This window comes from Homo sapiens, chromosome 3 (genome assembly GCF_000001405.40).
Source record: "Homo sapiens chromosome 3, GRCh38.p14 Primary Assembly".
In the NCBI taxonomy this organism is placed as follows: domain Eukaryota; kingdom Metazoa; phylum Chordata; class Mammalia; order Primates; family Hominidae; genus Homo; species Homo sapiens.
In genome coordinates this window covers 114,970,739-114,988,962 of record NC_000003.12, presented here as the reverse complement: position 1 = coordinate 114,988,962, position 18,224 = coordinate 114,970,739, and the positions used below count along the sequence as shown (strand labels likewise).

Sequence of the window (18,224 nt, the reverse complement as noted above, 5' to 3'; positions counted from 1 at the left end):
AAGAAGAAAACAAACAACTCCATCAAAAACTGGGCGAAGGATGTGAACAGACACTTCTCAAAAGAAGACATTTATGCAGCCAACAGAGACATGAAAAAATGCTCATCATCACTGGCCATCAGAGAAATGCAAATCAAAACCACAATGAGACACCATCTCACACCAGTTAGAATGGCGATCATTAAAAAGTCAGGAAACAACAGGTGCTGGAGAGGATGTGGAGAAATAGGAACACTTTTACACTGTTGGTGGGACTGTAAACTAGTTCAACCATTGTGGAAGACAGTCTGGCAATTCCTCAAGGATCTAGAACTAGAAATACCATTTGACCCAGCCATCTCATTACTGAGTATATACCCAAAGGATTATAAATCATGCTGCTGTAAAGACACATGCACACGTATGCTTATTGCGGCACTATTCACAATAGCAAAGACTTGGAATCAACCCAAATGTCCATCAATGATAGACTGGATTAAGAAAATGTGGCACATATACACCATGGAATACTATGCAGCCATAAAAAAGATGAGTTCATGTCCTTTGTAGGGACATGGATGAAGCTGGAAACCATCATTCTCAGCAAACTATCACAAGGACAAAAAACCAAACACCGCATGTTCTCACTCTTAGGTGGGGAATTGAACAATGAGAACACGTGGACACCGGAAGGGGAACATCACACCCCGGGGCCTGTCATGGGGTTGGGGGAGGGGGGAGGGAGGGGTAGCATTAGGAGATATACCTAATGTAAATGACGAGTTAATGGGTGCAGCACACCAACATGGTACATGTATACATATGTAGCAAACCTGCACATTGTGCACATGTACCCTAGAACTTAAAGCATAATTAAAAAAAAAAAAAAAAAGAAACTGGATACCATCACTTGCAATGTGAAAAAAACAATAAATAAAAAGTTTCTTTCAAAAAAAGAAAAAAAAAGAAGACGATAGGGAATAGATGAGATGGCATTGATAAGACAGTTTGTACCTAGACAAGACTTACCTTTGGCAAGGTTGGTTTAATTCTTTTCAGTGATGCAGATAAACTAGCAGAGGCAGATAAATTATTTCAATTCTAATCTTCCCTCCCTTTCAACATGTTGTACCTGACTTCTACATGTAGCTAAACAGGTACTTTTTGCTGATACCTGAGTGATGTTGAAGGGTTTGCACTTACACTCAACTTTTGGCACTTTATTATTTGTGCTGTATTCATGTCTACAGGGAGAAATTGGTCCCTCTGAGTACAGAGCAAGTGACTGTCAGCTTGACTGTGTTTGAAAGCTCCTATCCTATCATGTGATATTATCAGGAACCAAGGATTAGCAAACCTATGTTATTTTGGAAATACTTTTCTTCAGCATGCTGAACAAACAGCAAGAGCATAGGTAATAAAGCTATTGAAACCTCACAAGTGAAATGTGAGCACTTCATCCTCTTTTGAAAATATTGCAACGTTTTGTGATTTCTCCTTCATATGAGGAAAGAGAAAGAATCTTTCCAATTATTTCTTTAATGAATCAGTTACTTTGTGGAGCTTTTGAAAATGTAATTTTTCAGATAGATTCAACAGTCTTACCCCTATTGTGTAACTTAGTAGTAAGCTTTCTGCATTCATTGTACCTGGGAAGGTCAAGCATTTTATGACCTCAAAAGCCTGATTCTTGTTTCATAGAGACAATTACCTAAAAGTTCCCGTTATTTAAAATGGATATTTCAACCATCTCAAGGTTTACTTTTACTGGGATTCTCAAGTGGTTTTATTTATTGAATACTGAATCAAACTGAAGCAGACTTTATCATGTTATCTAAAATCTTACTTTATGTATTTTCTCATTTTATTTTAAAAATCATGGTTGTATGACATGCTGATATAATTTAATGGTAAACTTTACATTTAGATTTTATAGTTTTAGCATTTTTGTCAAACCCTAGTTGAAGCTACAAAAATATTTTGACACTATAGCTAGAATAGATAAAGCAGAATTGGATGTCAGAAGCATAGAGTACAATTTATTGGTTATCATGATTAGACGGGCTGATAATGAAAGCTGATTGGCAGTAGGATTTATTACAGAAACTATAAGATGGAGAATAGAAAATGATAACATTGCTAATTAATATGTAATGTATCTTATGACAGTGTGTTATCATTTAGAATCTTTACTAAATTTTAGTTTAATTGTGTGGCTGTTTTGGTGTTAAAACACAATTTTGAAAAACATATAATGCGTTTAAAATACCTTTTGAAAGTAGCTATCAACCAGAAACAGGTAAAGGTGTATTTATTATACTTTGGATAAAGGTATATTCCAATTGGGAAATTTGGAAGACCTAAAAGATTTTGAGGGAGAAAGAATTGTTATAATAGATGTAAATGTAATGTTGAATGGCTTACAGGGTATCTGACAACATTCTCATAAAACATTGTAAGAGAAATCAGTAAACATCTTGAAGACAAAGGAATCATGAGCGATGAAAAAAATGAGTTTATTATAAACAAATCTTGCCTGACAAAATTAATAATGTTTGAAATAGAATGCAGAATTAGCATGGTTAAGGGGAATGTATATTTTGAACTTCAACCGAGTGTTTGTTGTAGCTTTTCAAAAATAATTGTAGAATTACGATATAAATAATCTGATGGATAAAATATGCAGAGAAAGCTGATGAATCTATAGAAGGCCAAAATGTAATGCCAAGAACACCCTCAAATGGATTGCAGGATTAGGCGGCAGTGATAAGAGTGACCTGAGGGGTTCAGTTTTCCCGTAATCTTTTCCAACCCCCCCATACACATATATTTCATATAAAAGCAAAATGTGTATCACAGAAAAGCAGATTCTAACACAAGTCCTCCTAACACACTTTCTGATCAAATTTTCTTTCTAAATCTCCCCATATATAAACTTTGGAGGCTTCACTGATGGGTTAGATCAGGGTTTGCCAAATGCATCCCACCCCCTTCTGTAAACAAAGTTTTATTGGAGTACAGCCATGGTCATTTGTTTATATGTTTATTGCTTATGGCTGCTTTCAGACTATAGTAGCAGAATTGAGTAGTTGAAACAGAAACTTTATGACCTGCAAAGGCTAAAATATTTATTATTTGGCACTTTATAGATAAAGGTCCTGGTTTAAATGAATGGATGTTTTCACCTGTAGAGGCATTAGAACGCTTGTCAAGGCTAGGTATAGTCAGGATATTTGTACATTGTATGAATGTGGGAGGGAGTGAACATGTAAAGATTCAGGGTTTGGTCTCACCCCGAATCTTACCATGTTTCATCATTTTGACCCATCTATTTTGGCAGTAAAGGTCCCAAATTGGGTATGTGTCGTTGTAACTACTTTCATTCAGTTCCATTCAATTGTTTTTGACATCATAAAAGGACATAATGACATATCAAAAGTTTAATGGGGAAGTGTGAAGGAAACAATAGCTGAGAAGAACAATGTTGTTAATCTTATGTATTAATACATTTTAGGTCTAATGTGGTAGGAATATATTTTGTTTAGAACTTTTTCAAAATAAGCTTCATCCACTTGATCTTGGACCTATCTCTTAAATGGACTTACTGTGCCCCATTAATGCTGAGAGACAGAGCATTTTTCATCCTAGGATTCAACTGAAAAAAGAACTACCTTGCACATTGTAAGCACTTGAAAACTATTTATGGCTAACGATTTCTGTAAATTCATTTATTCGTTACTCAGATCTATCAGTGCTTACTATGTGCCAGGCATGACACCTAGGGGCAAGTGATTTGGCAGAGAATAAGACAGATAGCCTCCTTAATGTAGGAAAATCGACAATGAGTCAGTTTATAAATAAGTAAAATAGTTGCAGATAGTGATATCCTGTGAAGAAAAGAAATCTGGGCAGTGGGATCAAAAGTGACTTGGGTCAGATAGGGTGGATAGTGGGATAAAGAGTAACCACGTGCCATTTGAGTTGAGGACTGAATGATGAGAAGGGGAAGCCATCATGAAATGATCTGGGAGAAGAGCCTTGTAGAAAAGCGTGTTCAAAAGCCCCAAACAAGCATGGCCTGATGAAGGAAGACAAAAAAGGTAGTGTGGCTGGATTTTAGTAAAACAGTTGGTGTGTAGGGATGTGTGAGTGTATGTTTGTTTCTGTGTCTGTGTGAGAGTGCTCTTGGGAACAGGACATTAAATTAGCTCCTTGTTTGTTTTCTTAGGTACTCAATTGATTAGTCTTTTCTAAACATAAATGTATGTTTCTGATCTAAAATGAGAGTTATTGAATTGATTGTATCTGAATCAACTGTTGTTCAATGAAAGAGAAGGCCATTCATAGGTGTCTTGATAGAAATAAGAGTGAGAAGAGAGAATACACTGAGATAGTGAAAGTTTGGGAGAAATTGGGAATTAGGACTTGGTTCTTTGGCTCCAAGACCAAAGAGAAGCTTATTTGGAATGTCACTACATGGGTCTGGGTAGTTGTTGTGCATCCTGATGGAGCAGAGACTTGTTCACAGAAAATGGTGACGGAGCAGGGACATTTAAAGAAAGCTGTCTCCTGTTGTTGGAGGGAGGATTTGAGAAAAGGACAAAGATTTTTAAAAAATGACTAGTTACTGGGTCCAGCACACCAACAAGGCACATGTATACATATGTAACTAAACTGCGCATTGTGCACATGTACCCTAAAACTTAAAGTATAATAAAAATATATATATGTATAATTGATTTTTAACAAGAAAAAGATTAGGACTGGGAATGGGCCAGGCTCAATAACTGAAAAGAGACATCCTAAACCCTGTGATCTCCATCATCAATGCCAGTCTCACAGAAGAAAAATAAGTTGTTGGTAGATGGACTGGATTATGATGTGGGAGGATGACATGTTCAAATTAAACCAGGAAATGGAAGGAGTGTGTATCATATCAATACACCTTTGGGGAGAAGAAAGAAAAAAGTAAATTCAGAGAGCAAAACTGGCTTTGGATAAGAACGTCAACTGGGCAATAATATAGCAAAGGAAATCGTTTCGTTTTAAAAAGCATTACTGTAATGCTTATTGAAGCAGTTGTGAAAAACCTGAAAACCGTGAGTTTATGCAAAGACACATTTTTGAAACTAGAAAATAACAAGAGGTCTATAACAAACGTATGGAAAATTTCTAAGCATTTAAAACCTATAATTGAAAATTCAGTTAATTTAGTTTAACAAATTACTTAAAATTTAAACTCTGTTGGCTGTATTTTGGCTTAAATGTAAAAATTCCTAGTCTATAGCTGTTAATATATTTTATATCACAGATAGGCAAAAGTCTATGCCTTAATTGAAAGGATGAAGCCTTTCATATCAGTCTGAAGCCAAAAGTTACACACAAACTTCTTTCCTTTTTTGACTTGCTTGGATCAGATACTGATCAGGTGCTTTGCTTGGGTACAGACTTGAGAGTTTTACTATTAGCTTTCATCAGCTTTTTCAACATTGACCTTTGACCATGAAATATGAAGACAAGAACGGCCTTGAGAAACAATGCTTCTCCGGTTCTAAATCTGGTTCCTCGGTGTAATTATATATCATGCTTTAATTTCTCTAACTGGCATTTCTCGAGTTAAAATTAATTTGAGTTCACTATGAATTTAACAGAAATTGACAGAGTAGAGACGAATACCTCATGCTGAACTATATAGGAAGGACATCGTGAAGGACATGTTGAGGGCATAGGAAAAGCCTGATATATATGTGAAAATATTTCAGCTACATGAACATTGCATGACACATTGTAAACCCAATAATTGTTTGCTGAAACAATGTATATTTATTTAAAATCTTATTTCATTGGGTGAGACAGTATAATTTCTGCATTATTTGGAATTAGGATATATAATGGAACTAGATTATGGAGGAATTTGAAAACCAAGTATATAGGACTTGATACTGTAAATCATTAGGAATTATTATAGGAAATAACTAGATTATTTCCAAATATTTGTTTTATTATGGTGTGTAGGATGATATAGAGATAGATAGAGGCAAAGGATGATATTTTATTCCAGGCATACTTTTATATTAAACCAGGTTCTCATTCCCAGCCTAGCTTGGCTGCATTGAAATGAATTTCTTCATAAAAGTCTATAGGTCTAATGTAAAAAAAAACTTTGGACTTTGGAGGGAGGATTTGAGAAAAGGACAAAGATTTTTAAAAAATGACGAGTTACTGGGTGCAGCACACTAACAAGGCACATGTATACATATGTAACTAAACTGCGTGTTGTGCACATGTACCCACAGGACTTTGAACATTCTGCTTTATTGTGCCCTTTTATACTTGTGTCTCACTGGTACCTGCCTGTTTGCATTTATTTTAGGGAGTAATTCAATAAAAATTAAATGGAATGAATTTATAACTAAAACCTGTTCTGTGCAAACCATAAGGATGGGATTTATTTATTTTATTTATTTTTTAAGTCAGCCTTTTCTCTTCATGGAATTACTCAATGTGTAAAGATTGGTACACTAAAAGCAAATCCTGCATTACAAATTGGTTGCTGTCTTTGGTAGCAATCTGCCAAGAGGATATTTCAAGAAAATAGTCATACTGCAAATTTGGCCCCTTGCTGGCCCTCATTAAGTATGCATTTTACTTTGACATGTTATTTCATAGAAATGATTTAGGACTAGAAATTAAAAGTTGTATCGACTGGTGTACCTCTCATCAGATGAATTAGGAATAGCAGACAATCCTGCCTTTGAGAAGTTATTATGATAATATTGCCCATTTATACTGTTGTCTTGGTTGCCTTTGGAATATAATCATTCACATATTTATCCCATGAAAACTATTTCCAAAAAGGAAATGAGAGGTCAGCTTTGATTGTATAATTCCACACTTACTAGCTGGTGGTACCTTAGTTTTTTAATTTTTGGCATTGACTCTGGGAAATTTACTATGGTATAAAACTGCCAGCTGCACAAAGGTGGGGCCAGTTTTGTCAGCATCTTATGAACAATTCACCAAATGAATTTTTCTGGGAAAACCAGTATGAAAGTTCCTTGCATGGTAGTGAAGAAGTAGACTTGTGTTAAATATAATAACACACAAGAAAAACCATCAACTCATGAAAGATTGAAGAACTCATGAAAGATTAAAGCTGGAAATGGAACATGGTCTGTAGGAATCCGAACTCTGCAACCAGATTGACGGGGGCATAAATCCTGGTTCTGCCGCTCAGTAAAAGGGTGTCCTTTGGCAAATTACTTACTCCCTCTGTTCCTTAGTTTACACATTGATAAAGTGGGTATGATGATATTACCTACCTCCTAGAGTTTTTGTTAGGTTTAAATAAGTAAATACAAATAAAAGCGCTTTGAACAGAACCTGAATATGGGGACTGCTCATGTATTTGCTATTATCTGTTAATCTTTAGAAGTAAAGATGAAAATTAAATAGATTTCTCTTTGACTCTGCCTTCTATTGTTACAAAAATATAGGAAGAAAATTGCTGTCACTTCTAAAATGTGGAATGATTTTAAAGCAGCACTATTTTGTTTCAAAGCTCAAATACCTTGTAATGCAATTGTCCTTAAAGGAAACATATTTAACCTTTAACCAAGACTAAATTAACAAGAATTGTTTTTACACACCCCTTTTAGAAGAAAGGTTACAAATCATAACAAAATAGCTCATTATTAGGCCTGTCTTCTGAAGGAACTTCAAACATTCTCCTTTTGTCCTGGGGGTTACTGTATGAGTGCAATCTCCTATGTCTAGTTATTTAGAATTCTGTAAAATTAGAAAGCAAGGGGTTTTTATTGGGTCTCTGGATCCCTGGAAATTTCATACAAAATTTCGTGATCATATGCACTTTTCTAGAGAAAAAAGATTCTTGGTTTTTTTTCATCGTCCCAGAGGCCCTTCTGACTTCCCAAAAGTTCAAGAGCCATCCTCTAAGGCAACATAATTTTTTCATTTTAAGTGAAAGATAAAATTATAATTCCCTATTTACTAAAGCAGAGAAATCTAGTAGAACATCTTATATTTTTAGTTAAAATGATCTAAAAACAAAAACACCTTTCCCCCTAGAACCCTTAGCTAACCAGAACATTTAACTAACCAACATTTCAGGTAATCAATGGTTACTTGCATCAAGCAGCAATCTTTCTTCAGTGATTAGCTACGCTGGTGAAAATAGTCCAGTCTTATCTGGAGAAAATGGTGATTTTTTAATTTATTCATTCTTTTTTTCTTGAAGTTTCAAAATTATTAATATTTTTATAGTTTCATAATTATACATTTCTTATGGTATACTCAGGAATAAGAGTATTCTATAAATGCTTACTTCAAAACTATTATATCAATCTAATATAATTTAGTACTGAATATTTCTGCTCATGGTGGAGTGAAATATCTGACAGAAGACTAGGGAAAGCTGGAAGAAAAATAATTTTACTGACCTGTGAAATTTAAAAAAAGTCTTCTATTTTTTATGAACTTATGTAAATGTTTAAGTGCATATTTACCTTGGTATTTTAAAATTGCTTTTACTAAAATGGCTAAATAGATTTTTAAATAATTGTTTTATGGACCCTTAGAAAGGATATACATTTCAAGCCCAAAAACTTTAAAGTTTTTAGTTGAAGGGGATTAAGTAAATAATTTAGAAGTTCATTGTGTTTACCTGTTAATAATTAAGCAGGTTAGATTGTGTACTTTTTATAGTCACTGAGTTTTAATTTATTTATTTGTTGATGTGTTGGTTTTTAAGAATTTATTTAAGGCATTCTGCTCTTGGGAAATAAAAATAAACAGAATGAAGCTTCACATAATAAAAGGAAGGGCTCGGGTTACTTTTAAACAGACAAGTAAAGAAAAAAATTGATTGTATTTTAGAGTTAAAAACAGTATTTAGTACCTAATCTTTCTGTACTTTTTCCCCCTATTTAGAAGCGAACCTGAAATACCTAAGAGCAAGTATAACTGAGTCAGTGAATGGTCTTTTGTTGTTGCTCTCGAGCTCCAGCTCCATGGAATTTGACTTTATTTCAGATGGCTTTAGTATGGGGTTTAGCCAGACCAATCTTATGAAATGTTCTTTGAGAATATACCATAGAACTTACCAGATTTCCCTGGTGTTTTAAAAACTCTAATAATATATCCAAATCCAAAATGAATACCTCCACCTTAGGATGCATGATTATGGATGAACTGAAATTAAAGCTTTTCCAGTCTTTGAAGGAATGTATCCTTGTCTTCTTGACGATGGAACTGTACAGGTTCTTTATGATCTTTCAGGATGATCAATTGGCTTTCATTTGCCTTTTAAAATAAAATACAATTAAACCTTATGTTTAAATTTTTATTTAATGAAGACTTGTTTGCTATAATTATTAATAGATAATGGTCTTTAACAGTTTCTATTCATTTTGTACTCATTGGGAAGGCCTTATACAAAATAATGTCCATTGAAACAATTAACCAGAAGTCATAGTTCATATGTTGTAGGGTCATATGTTTTGAATGACATGTTAAGGACTATGGATTGAAAATTTCTTATATGGGAATGAACAGCATGATTTTATAGCTACTTAAAATTTGCTTACTTTAAACTTTTACTTAATTGAAATTTATACTACTCCTATTTCCAAAACTGATTTGGAGCATCTTATGTTCTCATGGTGTATTTTGTCTCTCTTTATACAGTAGTCCTATCATTGAAATCGATGAACATTTCATCTATTTTCTCTTGTAAAAGTATGTTCACAGTATAAATGTAACCTCCAACTTAAGTTTTCTACATTCCAGGCTGTGCTTTTCTTTGAAAGTTTAATTGGAGATGTTACCAGTTAAAATTTGGTTGCTAGGAACCTAATAGATACCATTCTGAGTAGTTGCTGTTATCTTTATAAATCCTATTTTTCTTTCTTTGTTGTTCTCTTCCCTTCCTCACGATACCTGCCCTTTCTCCTTTCCTTCCTTACATTTTTTTTTCTCTAAAAAAATCTATGCAGTTAAAAAGGTTTCACCAAAAATGACAGATAGACATTTTCAAATGTCTTTCTTAACATTCAGGAATTCTAATAATATAAATTAAATTTTTCTTTCCTGAAACATAAACTAGGTGCCTTCTTTAGTGCTTTTTATGTTTATAAAAAGTAATTTGTTTTTATTACAGAAAATTTGGAAACAAATTCTAAGAAGAAAAAAACTGTCATAATCTTAAGATAAATTCAAAGAATAATGTAGTTTAAGTTTTTTACAGTCACATACATACTTTTTCTAATGCACACACAAGCACACACACACACACACACCTGGTACATACAGATCTATACTTACATATGCACATAACCAAAAGTTGTGCATAGTCTGTATTTATATTATATAGAGAAAAATTATTAAATATTGGTATGGTATGTTATCATTATTACCATTTTATAACCTGTTTTCTAAGCTTAATGATGTATTATATATTTTCACTTGCCATGTCTAATGAACACTTAATATCCTATTACATATAATTTATCTAACCAGTTCACTATTCTAAAATATTTTAGTTTATTTAATTTGCATTTCTTTCATTGCTATTGCAGATTAATATTATTTCATATGTATTTTAGCTTCTTATTTCACCTTATTACTTATAGGTATTAGAATTAATAATATTATTTAATAATAAATAGTAATAAGTATTACTATTTTATATATAGTTTAAAATATATTTTATATATGTTTAAATATATTTATAAATGCATTCCATATTTTAGAAGAGAACTCACAATTCTATTGTGAATTGCCTATTCATGTATTTTGCTCATTTTAAAAAGTAGAATAATATGTTTATTTATTTATAAAGACTCTTAACCCAATGAACATTATACACTTTAAAAATATTTATTTTTTATTGGCCTCTTAAGTTTGAATTTTGTTAAAGATGTTTTCTGCCTTACACTTTTTTTTTTTTTTTTTTTGAGACTGGGTCTTGTTCTCTTGCCCATACTGGAGTACAGTGGCAGGATCATGGTTCACTGTAGCCTTGACCTCTCCAGGCTCAGGTGATCCTCCCACCTCAGCCTCCTGAGTAGCTGGGACTACAGTTGTGCACCACCATGTCCAACTAATTTTTGTATTTTTTGTGGAGACAGGGTTTCACCATGTTGCCCAGGCTAAAATTTTTAATTTTAAGTAGTAAACATCATAAATCTTTATGCTTATATTATATACCACTGTGTATGTACTTTAAAAGTCCTTCCCACATTGGAGTTCAGAAAATTATACATATGTATTTTCTTAGAGGTCCTTGATTGTTTTATATATTATATTGAGTTTTATTGACCTGATTTATATTTTAGTACTGATAAGAATTAGAGAACAGAATTTATTTTGCCACAGGTAATCAGTCAGCTATCTCAACATTGTTCATGGAAATGTTACTTGTAACATTTACCCCATACCTAAGTTCCCCTGGCCTCTTCTACTGATCTATCTCTTCCAATGCCAATATCACACTGTCACTTATATTTAACTCTTTGGAAAGAACCTACCTTGTTCTCTGCTTCTTTGCTATAGGACTCAAACCTAATGCTTGATGTTTTCTCATTTAAATTTGTTTTTTAAGTTTGTCAGTCCCCTGGTTTGTTGTTATTGTTTTGAGCTAGCTTTAAAGCATCAAAACTACTAAACATCATTTTAGTTCATTTCAGGACAACAAAGATTTTTTTGATTATTTGTTACATAGCAAGGCTTGTGCTTGCATTAGGAATACATAAATGAATCAGATATCTGTGTAGCAATGTCCCTTCACTGGAAAAATGTGTTAATCTGATGGAGTCAGACAGCATGTAAATAGTAAAGAGAGTGGCCTCATGTTAATAACTTAATTTTCTTCTGATTCTTTCTTATTCTTTTGTTATCTATGACTTCTTGGCCCTAGCCATTTAATATATTTTCCCCTTTTTCTTTTTTTTTTAATTTAGGAAAGGTGAAATATTATGTGAAATTGATTTAACAGAGTTTGATTGATTCAGGTATACGAAAGATGGTGACTTTTTCATATTCATGTAGTCTGTTTATTTTCTAATTAATGAACTGAAAATTGTGTCTTTCTATTTTTGTTCTCTAAGTGTTTATTGAGCTCTTGCTAGGCACTATTTAAGGAACCTTAAGGAAAATAACAGTAAATGCCTTTGACAATGTAATCTAGTGGGGAAACATAATTTATAAAAATATTAGCAATATAATAAAAAGTATTGAGTACACTGTTTGGTATATGCTGGCCATTATACTAGGCAAGGAAATATGTATTATTTAATCCTAAAACAATTCAAACGGTCCTTCAGATTTTTTTTTTTTTTTGAGGCGGAGTTTTGCTCTTATCACCCAGGCTGAAGGGCAGTGGCGCGATCTTGGCTCACTGCAACCTCCACCTCTTAGGATCAAGCAATTCTCCTGCTTCAGCCTCCTGAGTAGCTGGGATTACAGGTGCCCGCCACCACGCCCGGCTAATTTTTTGTATTTTAGTAGAGATGGGGTTTCGCCATGTTGAGCAGGCTGGTCTTGAACTTCTGACCTCAGGTGATCCGCCTGCCTCGGCCTCCCGAACTGCTGGGATTACAGGTGTGAGCCACCTCACCCAGCCAGTCCTTCAGATTTTTTTGTTTTGACTGTCTTCTTTACTTGATTCAGGTTTCTTATTATTCTTACGTCCTTTGAGAAGTTTCCCTGTCCAAATCTATCTAAAATATCAGGCCAGGTAACTCTCAGTGTCATTATCTTGTTTTATCTGACTTCATAGTACTAATTATATGACATTATAAGTCTAACAGTTTATTTGTTTATTGTCTGTTTCTCCTGTTGCTAGAATGAATATTGAATGGAAGAATAAAGAATGCATTGTAGAAGTTTGTAGTTGCAGAATGACAATTTAATTTGGTGTACATGATTTAATTTCTTTAAGCCTAAATTTCTCATCTGTAAATAGATACAGATTTAGTGCCTGTTTTATTGGTTAGGCTGTTCATTCATTCACTGAGTACATATTCATTGATATCCTAGTATATGGCAGGCACTATTCAAGAAAATGGGGTTACAGTGAAAAAGAGAAAGTGCCTGCCCTTATGTTACTTCCATTCTAGAGGAAGAGACAGGTAATAAATTAATAAAAGTAACTTTTGTAATATATCATGTAGTTACCAAATTAATTTTCTCAAAGGTGTCCTCCACTTTATCTCTATGATCAGAACATTTTTTCTTTTCTGTTCCTAATCATCCTATTTCTTCATCATTAATTGTTCTGGTCTCACTCCTCCTAGCAGTTACTAACTTTTAGCATCCCTCCTAGTTTGCTGATGCAGAATAACTGTAATAATGCTGATGCACCCCAAATATAACAGGAGTGTCAGATTCCTTTTCTGGACCCTATTTGTCTATTAGTGCAACCAATCCTTAGGTTTGTTTTGGTTTACTAGTGTGGTTTGTTGTTTGCAAAAATACTGTGCATGCATATTAATGATATAGTCAATTAAAATCCTCAGATTTTTAAAATTTTAATGGGCATTTTACTGTAGATGTACTAGATTATATAATCAAGCATATGTTTAGGTATTGCATTTCCATTATTAAAACTGCTTTTGAAACTTTGAATGCCTAAATCTCTGTGGAGATTATTAGTAAATGTGGCATCAAGGTCATCATTGAGATTTCATAGCAAATTTAGAGAGATCATTTTCTAATGGGAACACAACATCAAATTCAATTTTTAATAGGAGAGCTGTTTTTAGTTAAATCTTTCTATAGTCAAAATCACCAAATTGGCTTTAAAGTAAACTCAACATCCTGCCTGTTCCCATCCAGCTTCAATTCTTTACTAAAGAAATTTAAAAGCAACCCATCCATTTGTTTGGCATCCTTGCATCTAAATATGGGTAGGACCCTACTATTAGCCTTTCTGCTAAAACAGGAAATATTAAGCCATGTTTTAATGTCAATGCCTTAGGTACTAAGCTGTACTGAACATGTTACCCTTTGCATCTTTATTTCTTTCCACCCATTTTCTTTTTATTTTCTTTGGTTTATCTGAGTTTATGCAAATATCTCTAACCTTACCTACTATTTTGAGAATAGGGCTTGTGTTTTATCTTTGCATACTTTTAAACTCACCAGTGATGACCAGTACATTATACATCATAGAACTTTGCGAACTCTCTGTTAATAAGAATGAGCAAGTAAATAGGTTAAAAGCAATTTGGGATTTGCTTTTCTTAAAAGAAAACATGAAATAAAAATGCAAATATCCTTATGAGTTAAGATAACTTCTTATGATACTATAGCAAACACCGTGCTATGCCTCCTCAAAAATGTATATGCAGTGGTTTAGATTGTATATTTGGGCCACGTTTTACTGAGTACTTGTACACATATGAATGTGTTAGCTTTCAGTTTTCTTTTTAAAACTATAGATATTAGTTGGCATACACAAACTCAGCTACCTGGGTCATAAAGATATTATAGAAATGCAAATGTTTTCCTTGGCAGATTTCTAATTTTAAGTATTCCTTTTTTTACAGACAAATAAAAAGAAGTGTTAAGAATTGCCTTTGGGACTCTGAAGGCTGAAGGTAATGTCCAGTGGTATTTTCCTGAATGGGCTTTATCTTCTTGAATTGTCTTATAATATTTAAGGTCTTGGATTTGCTACCTCAACTTTTCTTTTATTTTATTATTTTTCTTTTATTGTCCTTAAACACATTAAATATCTTTTTCTATGTATACCTAAAAATAATATGAAATTGTAAGTTAAAAAGTAGAAATTTTATACTCTTTCTGAATATTTCAGCTTAATTAGGTGTTGCTCTAACTCTTGTTCCTTCTATTTCATTATGTATTATGTCCCTCTGTCCTCCTTTTTTTTTTTTTTTTTAACTGGTTTGGAACTCATGATTTTAAACTGTGTTCTTTTGTTAAACAGACATATTGGCTTAAAGTCAGAATGTCAGTAACAATTTCTCCTGAGGAAGAGCTTTACAATTAACTATAAGAAATAAAATTGTATTTGTTGGGGACATTGAAACTCTTCAGATGAGATTTAGTGGCTACTGATAGTCAGAAGTCCAGAATTTCAGGCAAGAAGTTTACAATAGACTCGTGTGGCTGCATTGTGTATAAAGAGCTCACAGGGATTGAAGGAGGCTTCTTAGACAAGAGGGGGCTGTAATTACTTTTCTTCTTACATGCATGGTTAGATTTTCCAGTGAGACTAACATGGTAGGGTAATTTATTATAGAAGAGTAAATCACAGATTACATTGGAGGGGGATGGGGTGGTGCGATCCAACCATCAGTTTTGTGAATACATACACTTAAGCATGTGTGATAGCTTGTTTTTAATTTCTTTACACCAGTGCACACCTCAAACATTCCGTTTAGCAGTGGGATATGCAAATTGTTCCAAATGCAGCAGCAGTACTTTCACCTGAATGTCAAAACTGTCAGAGAGGTTTAAATCAAATCTTTATAACATTTTTTAAAAACCAGCCAGCCCCAAGATCGAGGCACCAAACTCACTGAAAAAAACTTCATTCTCATACTTCCAGAAAGCTCCTGTATGTCAACAGGGTAATGTCAAAGTTCTAATTCACCTGCTTTCTAATTTTAACCTTTTAAGGATTTTATTTTATTTGGCTTAATTACGATATTTTCTACAAATTAATGATAAATGCCTTGATTAATAAAACCAAATGTCAGAGAAAATGACAACTTGATGAAAAATTAATACTCGGCAATATTTTAAGGTACAGAAGTACTAAAGATGTACTCTTAAACCTCATATTTCATTACCTCTTTCTGAAGGTAGTTAACGAGAATTCTCTTTGCACGTAAGTTTTCACAGCCACATGTACAGATACATTTTAGCAATATAATTTTCAGTAATTTCTGCTGTTCTTTTTATTATTAGCTATTAAAGTTAGAAATATACTTCTAATTTTTATCCCTGCCTTGCCCCATAAGATTATTTATTTTTATTCACAAAATCAAGGTAAAGTATATTTTGGAGTGGTTATGAGTTTAAGTTACCATACTAAGAATCAAGTTAGCAACCTGTCTGTGTGAATGTGTGTGTGTGTGTGTGTCTGTGAGAGAGACAGAGAGAAATTAAAGAAACCTCATTGTGTAAAATTAATGTTTGGTGATTGGTTATCTGCTAGACGATTTATTTGGTTATGAACATTTCAGGTTTATATTTAAAATTATCTGAGAGGGAGAAAGAATATCGCTTTTCAAAGTGGAATAGATTTTAACATGATAATTTCCATTTTTGTTAAATATGTTTTTTTCCTGAGATTACATTAAAAGACCTGAAGACAAGTGAAGAGTGGTAACTTCCTTTTTTCTTGTATACTAATAATTTTTTGGCTAGCTCAAAAAACCAAATAATATGAAATATGATTATTTTTCTACTTTTACTGGAGATCATGAAGTTGAAAGTTAAAAATATCCCGTGTATTTTTCCATCTTCACAAATATCAGGATTTCAGAACATGAATAAAATATTTGATTAAATCTTATGCAGAAATGGTACTATGCAGGTACCAATGGTACATGCAGGATTGTAGTCCATGTTAGTTTTTTATTTTCATATTTTACAGATAAAGCTGCCAACCAAATGAGGGAAGGCACAATGACCTCTTGTGTGTTTGTTTTGTTTGGTTGTTCAGAATAAAAAGACCCACAATATATACTGTCAATGAAATGGACTCACTTTAATGATCTGTTCATGTAATGACATGATGTTCATGCCTATCAACAAAAATTTTTGCCAACTAATGTTAGAATCTCCTTTTTCTGTAATATAATGAGAATTTCTAAGTAGGTATTTTAGGCATATTGCTCTGCATAGTGAGATAAATAAAGGTAAGTGTTGGTCAACATTCTATAACCACAGTGTATGCCAATCCCAAGGGAAAACATTCTTCAGTGTAGATTTCCAGTAATATTTAAAATTTGGAGATGGATTGCATTGAATCTCCCTTAGCTGGCTCTAGGTTTTATTGTTTTTGTGTCTTTCCTGGTTCCAGGCATCCAGTCTGTACTGGCAAAGCTGCTTGATGAGGAGGGGCCTCCAACATTGCTGCCCCAATTGCTTACATACCTGCCATAAATAATAGCTTTGTCCACTAGTTAATCATTGCATTGTAACTGTCTCTGTTCCATCTTAGCTGATCACTGCCCAGAGGAGTTTAAGTTCCATTGTAATACAAAGCTCCTATTACCTTTCTGTACCTGCATTTATGTGCCTGTAAAACCATCCATTCTTCTCATACACCAGTTAAATAAGACATGTCCCACTTTTTTTGACAGTTTCTAAATTACATATTTAAAAATGTGTCTTTTCCTCCTTGTTTATTCTGTTCATCCTTTCGTCAGTTTACTTCTGCATATAAACTAGTGTTTTTTCATTAGTTACAAGATTTGATTAAGGAATTATTAACACCTATTTTACAATCCGCACTTTTATCTATTTTTTGTTGAGATTTTAGTTATTTGGGGTAAGTACTATAAGAAAATGTCATCCTTTCCCTAACACGTCTATGGACAAAGGAGAAAGACTGGAACCCCCCAAAATCTCTGAGACCTTTGTCTGGTCTTACATGGTTTGATCCTAGGAATGAGGGCACTGGCCCAACCTTACACAGAATCTTCAGTTTTAGGGAGTTGAGTTATGATTATTTAAACTCAGTGCTTGAATTAACACACATAACAATCAGCTGATACACTTTGAATAATCTGAATCTTCCGAAAAAATAAACAGCGTTAGAATATCTCTCATCCAACAAAAGAAAAAAAGTAAATATGTTTTATGGTAGGCTTAAAATATATAAATTCCCAGTTTTGATACTCATAATTGTACCATATGTTCTCTCTAAATGACTTGGTAGCACCTTTGGAAATTGCATTATCTTTTTTTTTTTTTTGACGGAGTCTCGCTCTGTTGCCCAGGCTGGAGTGCAGTGGCATGATCTGGGCTCACTGCAAGCTCCACCTCCCGGGTTCTTGCTATTCTCCTGCCTTAGCCTCCCAAGTAGCTGGGACTACAGGCGCCCACTACCATGCCTGGCTAATTTTTTGTATTTTTAGTAGACACGAGGTTTCACCGCGTTAGCCAGGATGGTCTCGATCTGCTGACCTCGTGATCTGCCCGCCTCGGCCTCCCAAAGTGCTGGGATTACAGGCGTGAGCCACCGCCCC

The 18,224-nt window shown here is 33.6% G+C and overlaps 1 protein-coding gene across 8 annotated transcripts in view; it reads left to right on the top strand.

The window, feature by feature from the left end:
• Positions 1-18,224, top strand: part of ZBTB20 (zinc finger and BTB domain containing 20) — an 832,789-nt gene that overhangs the window by 158,326 nt on the left and 656,239 nt on the right. For all 8 annotated transcript variants that reach the window (NM_015642.7, NM_001348801.3, NM_001348800.3 and 5 more), the window contains one exon: positions 14,547-14,597. The gene's annotated coding sequence lies outside the window, so the exon portion shown is untranslated. The remainder of the gene's footprint in view (positions 1-14,546; positions 14,598-18,224) is intronic.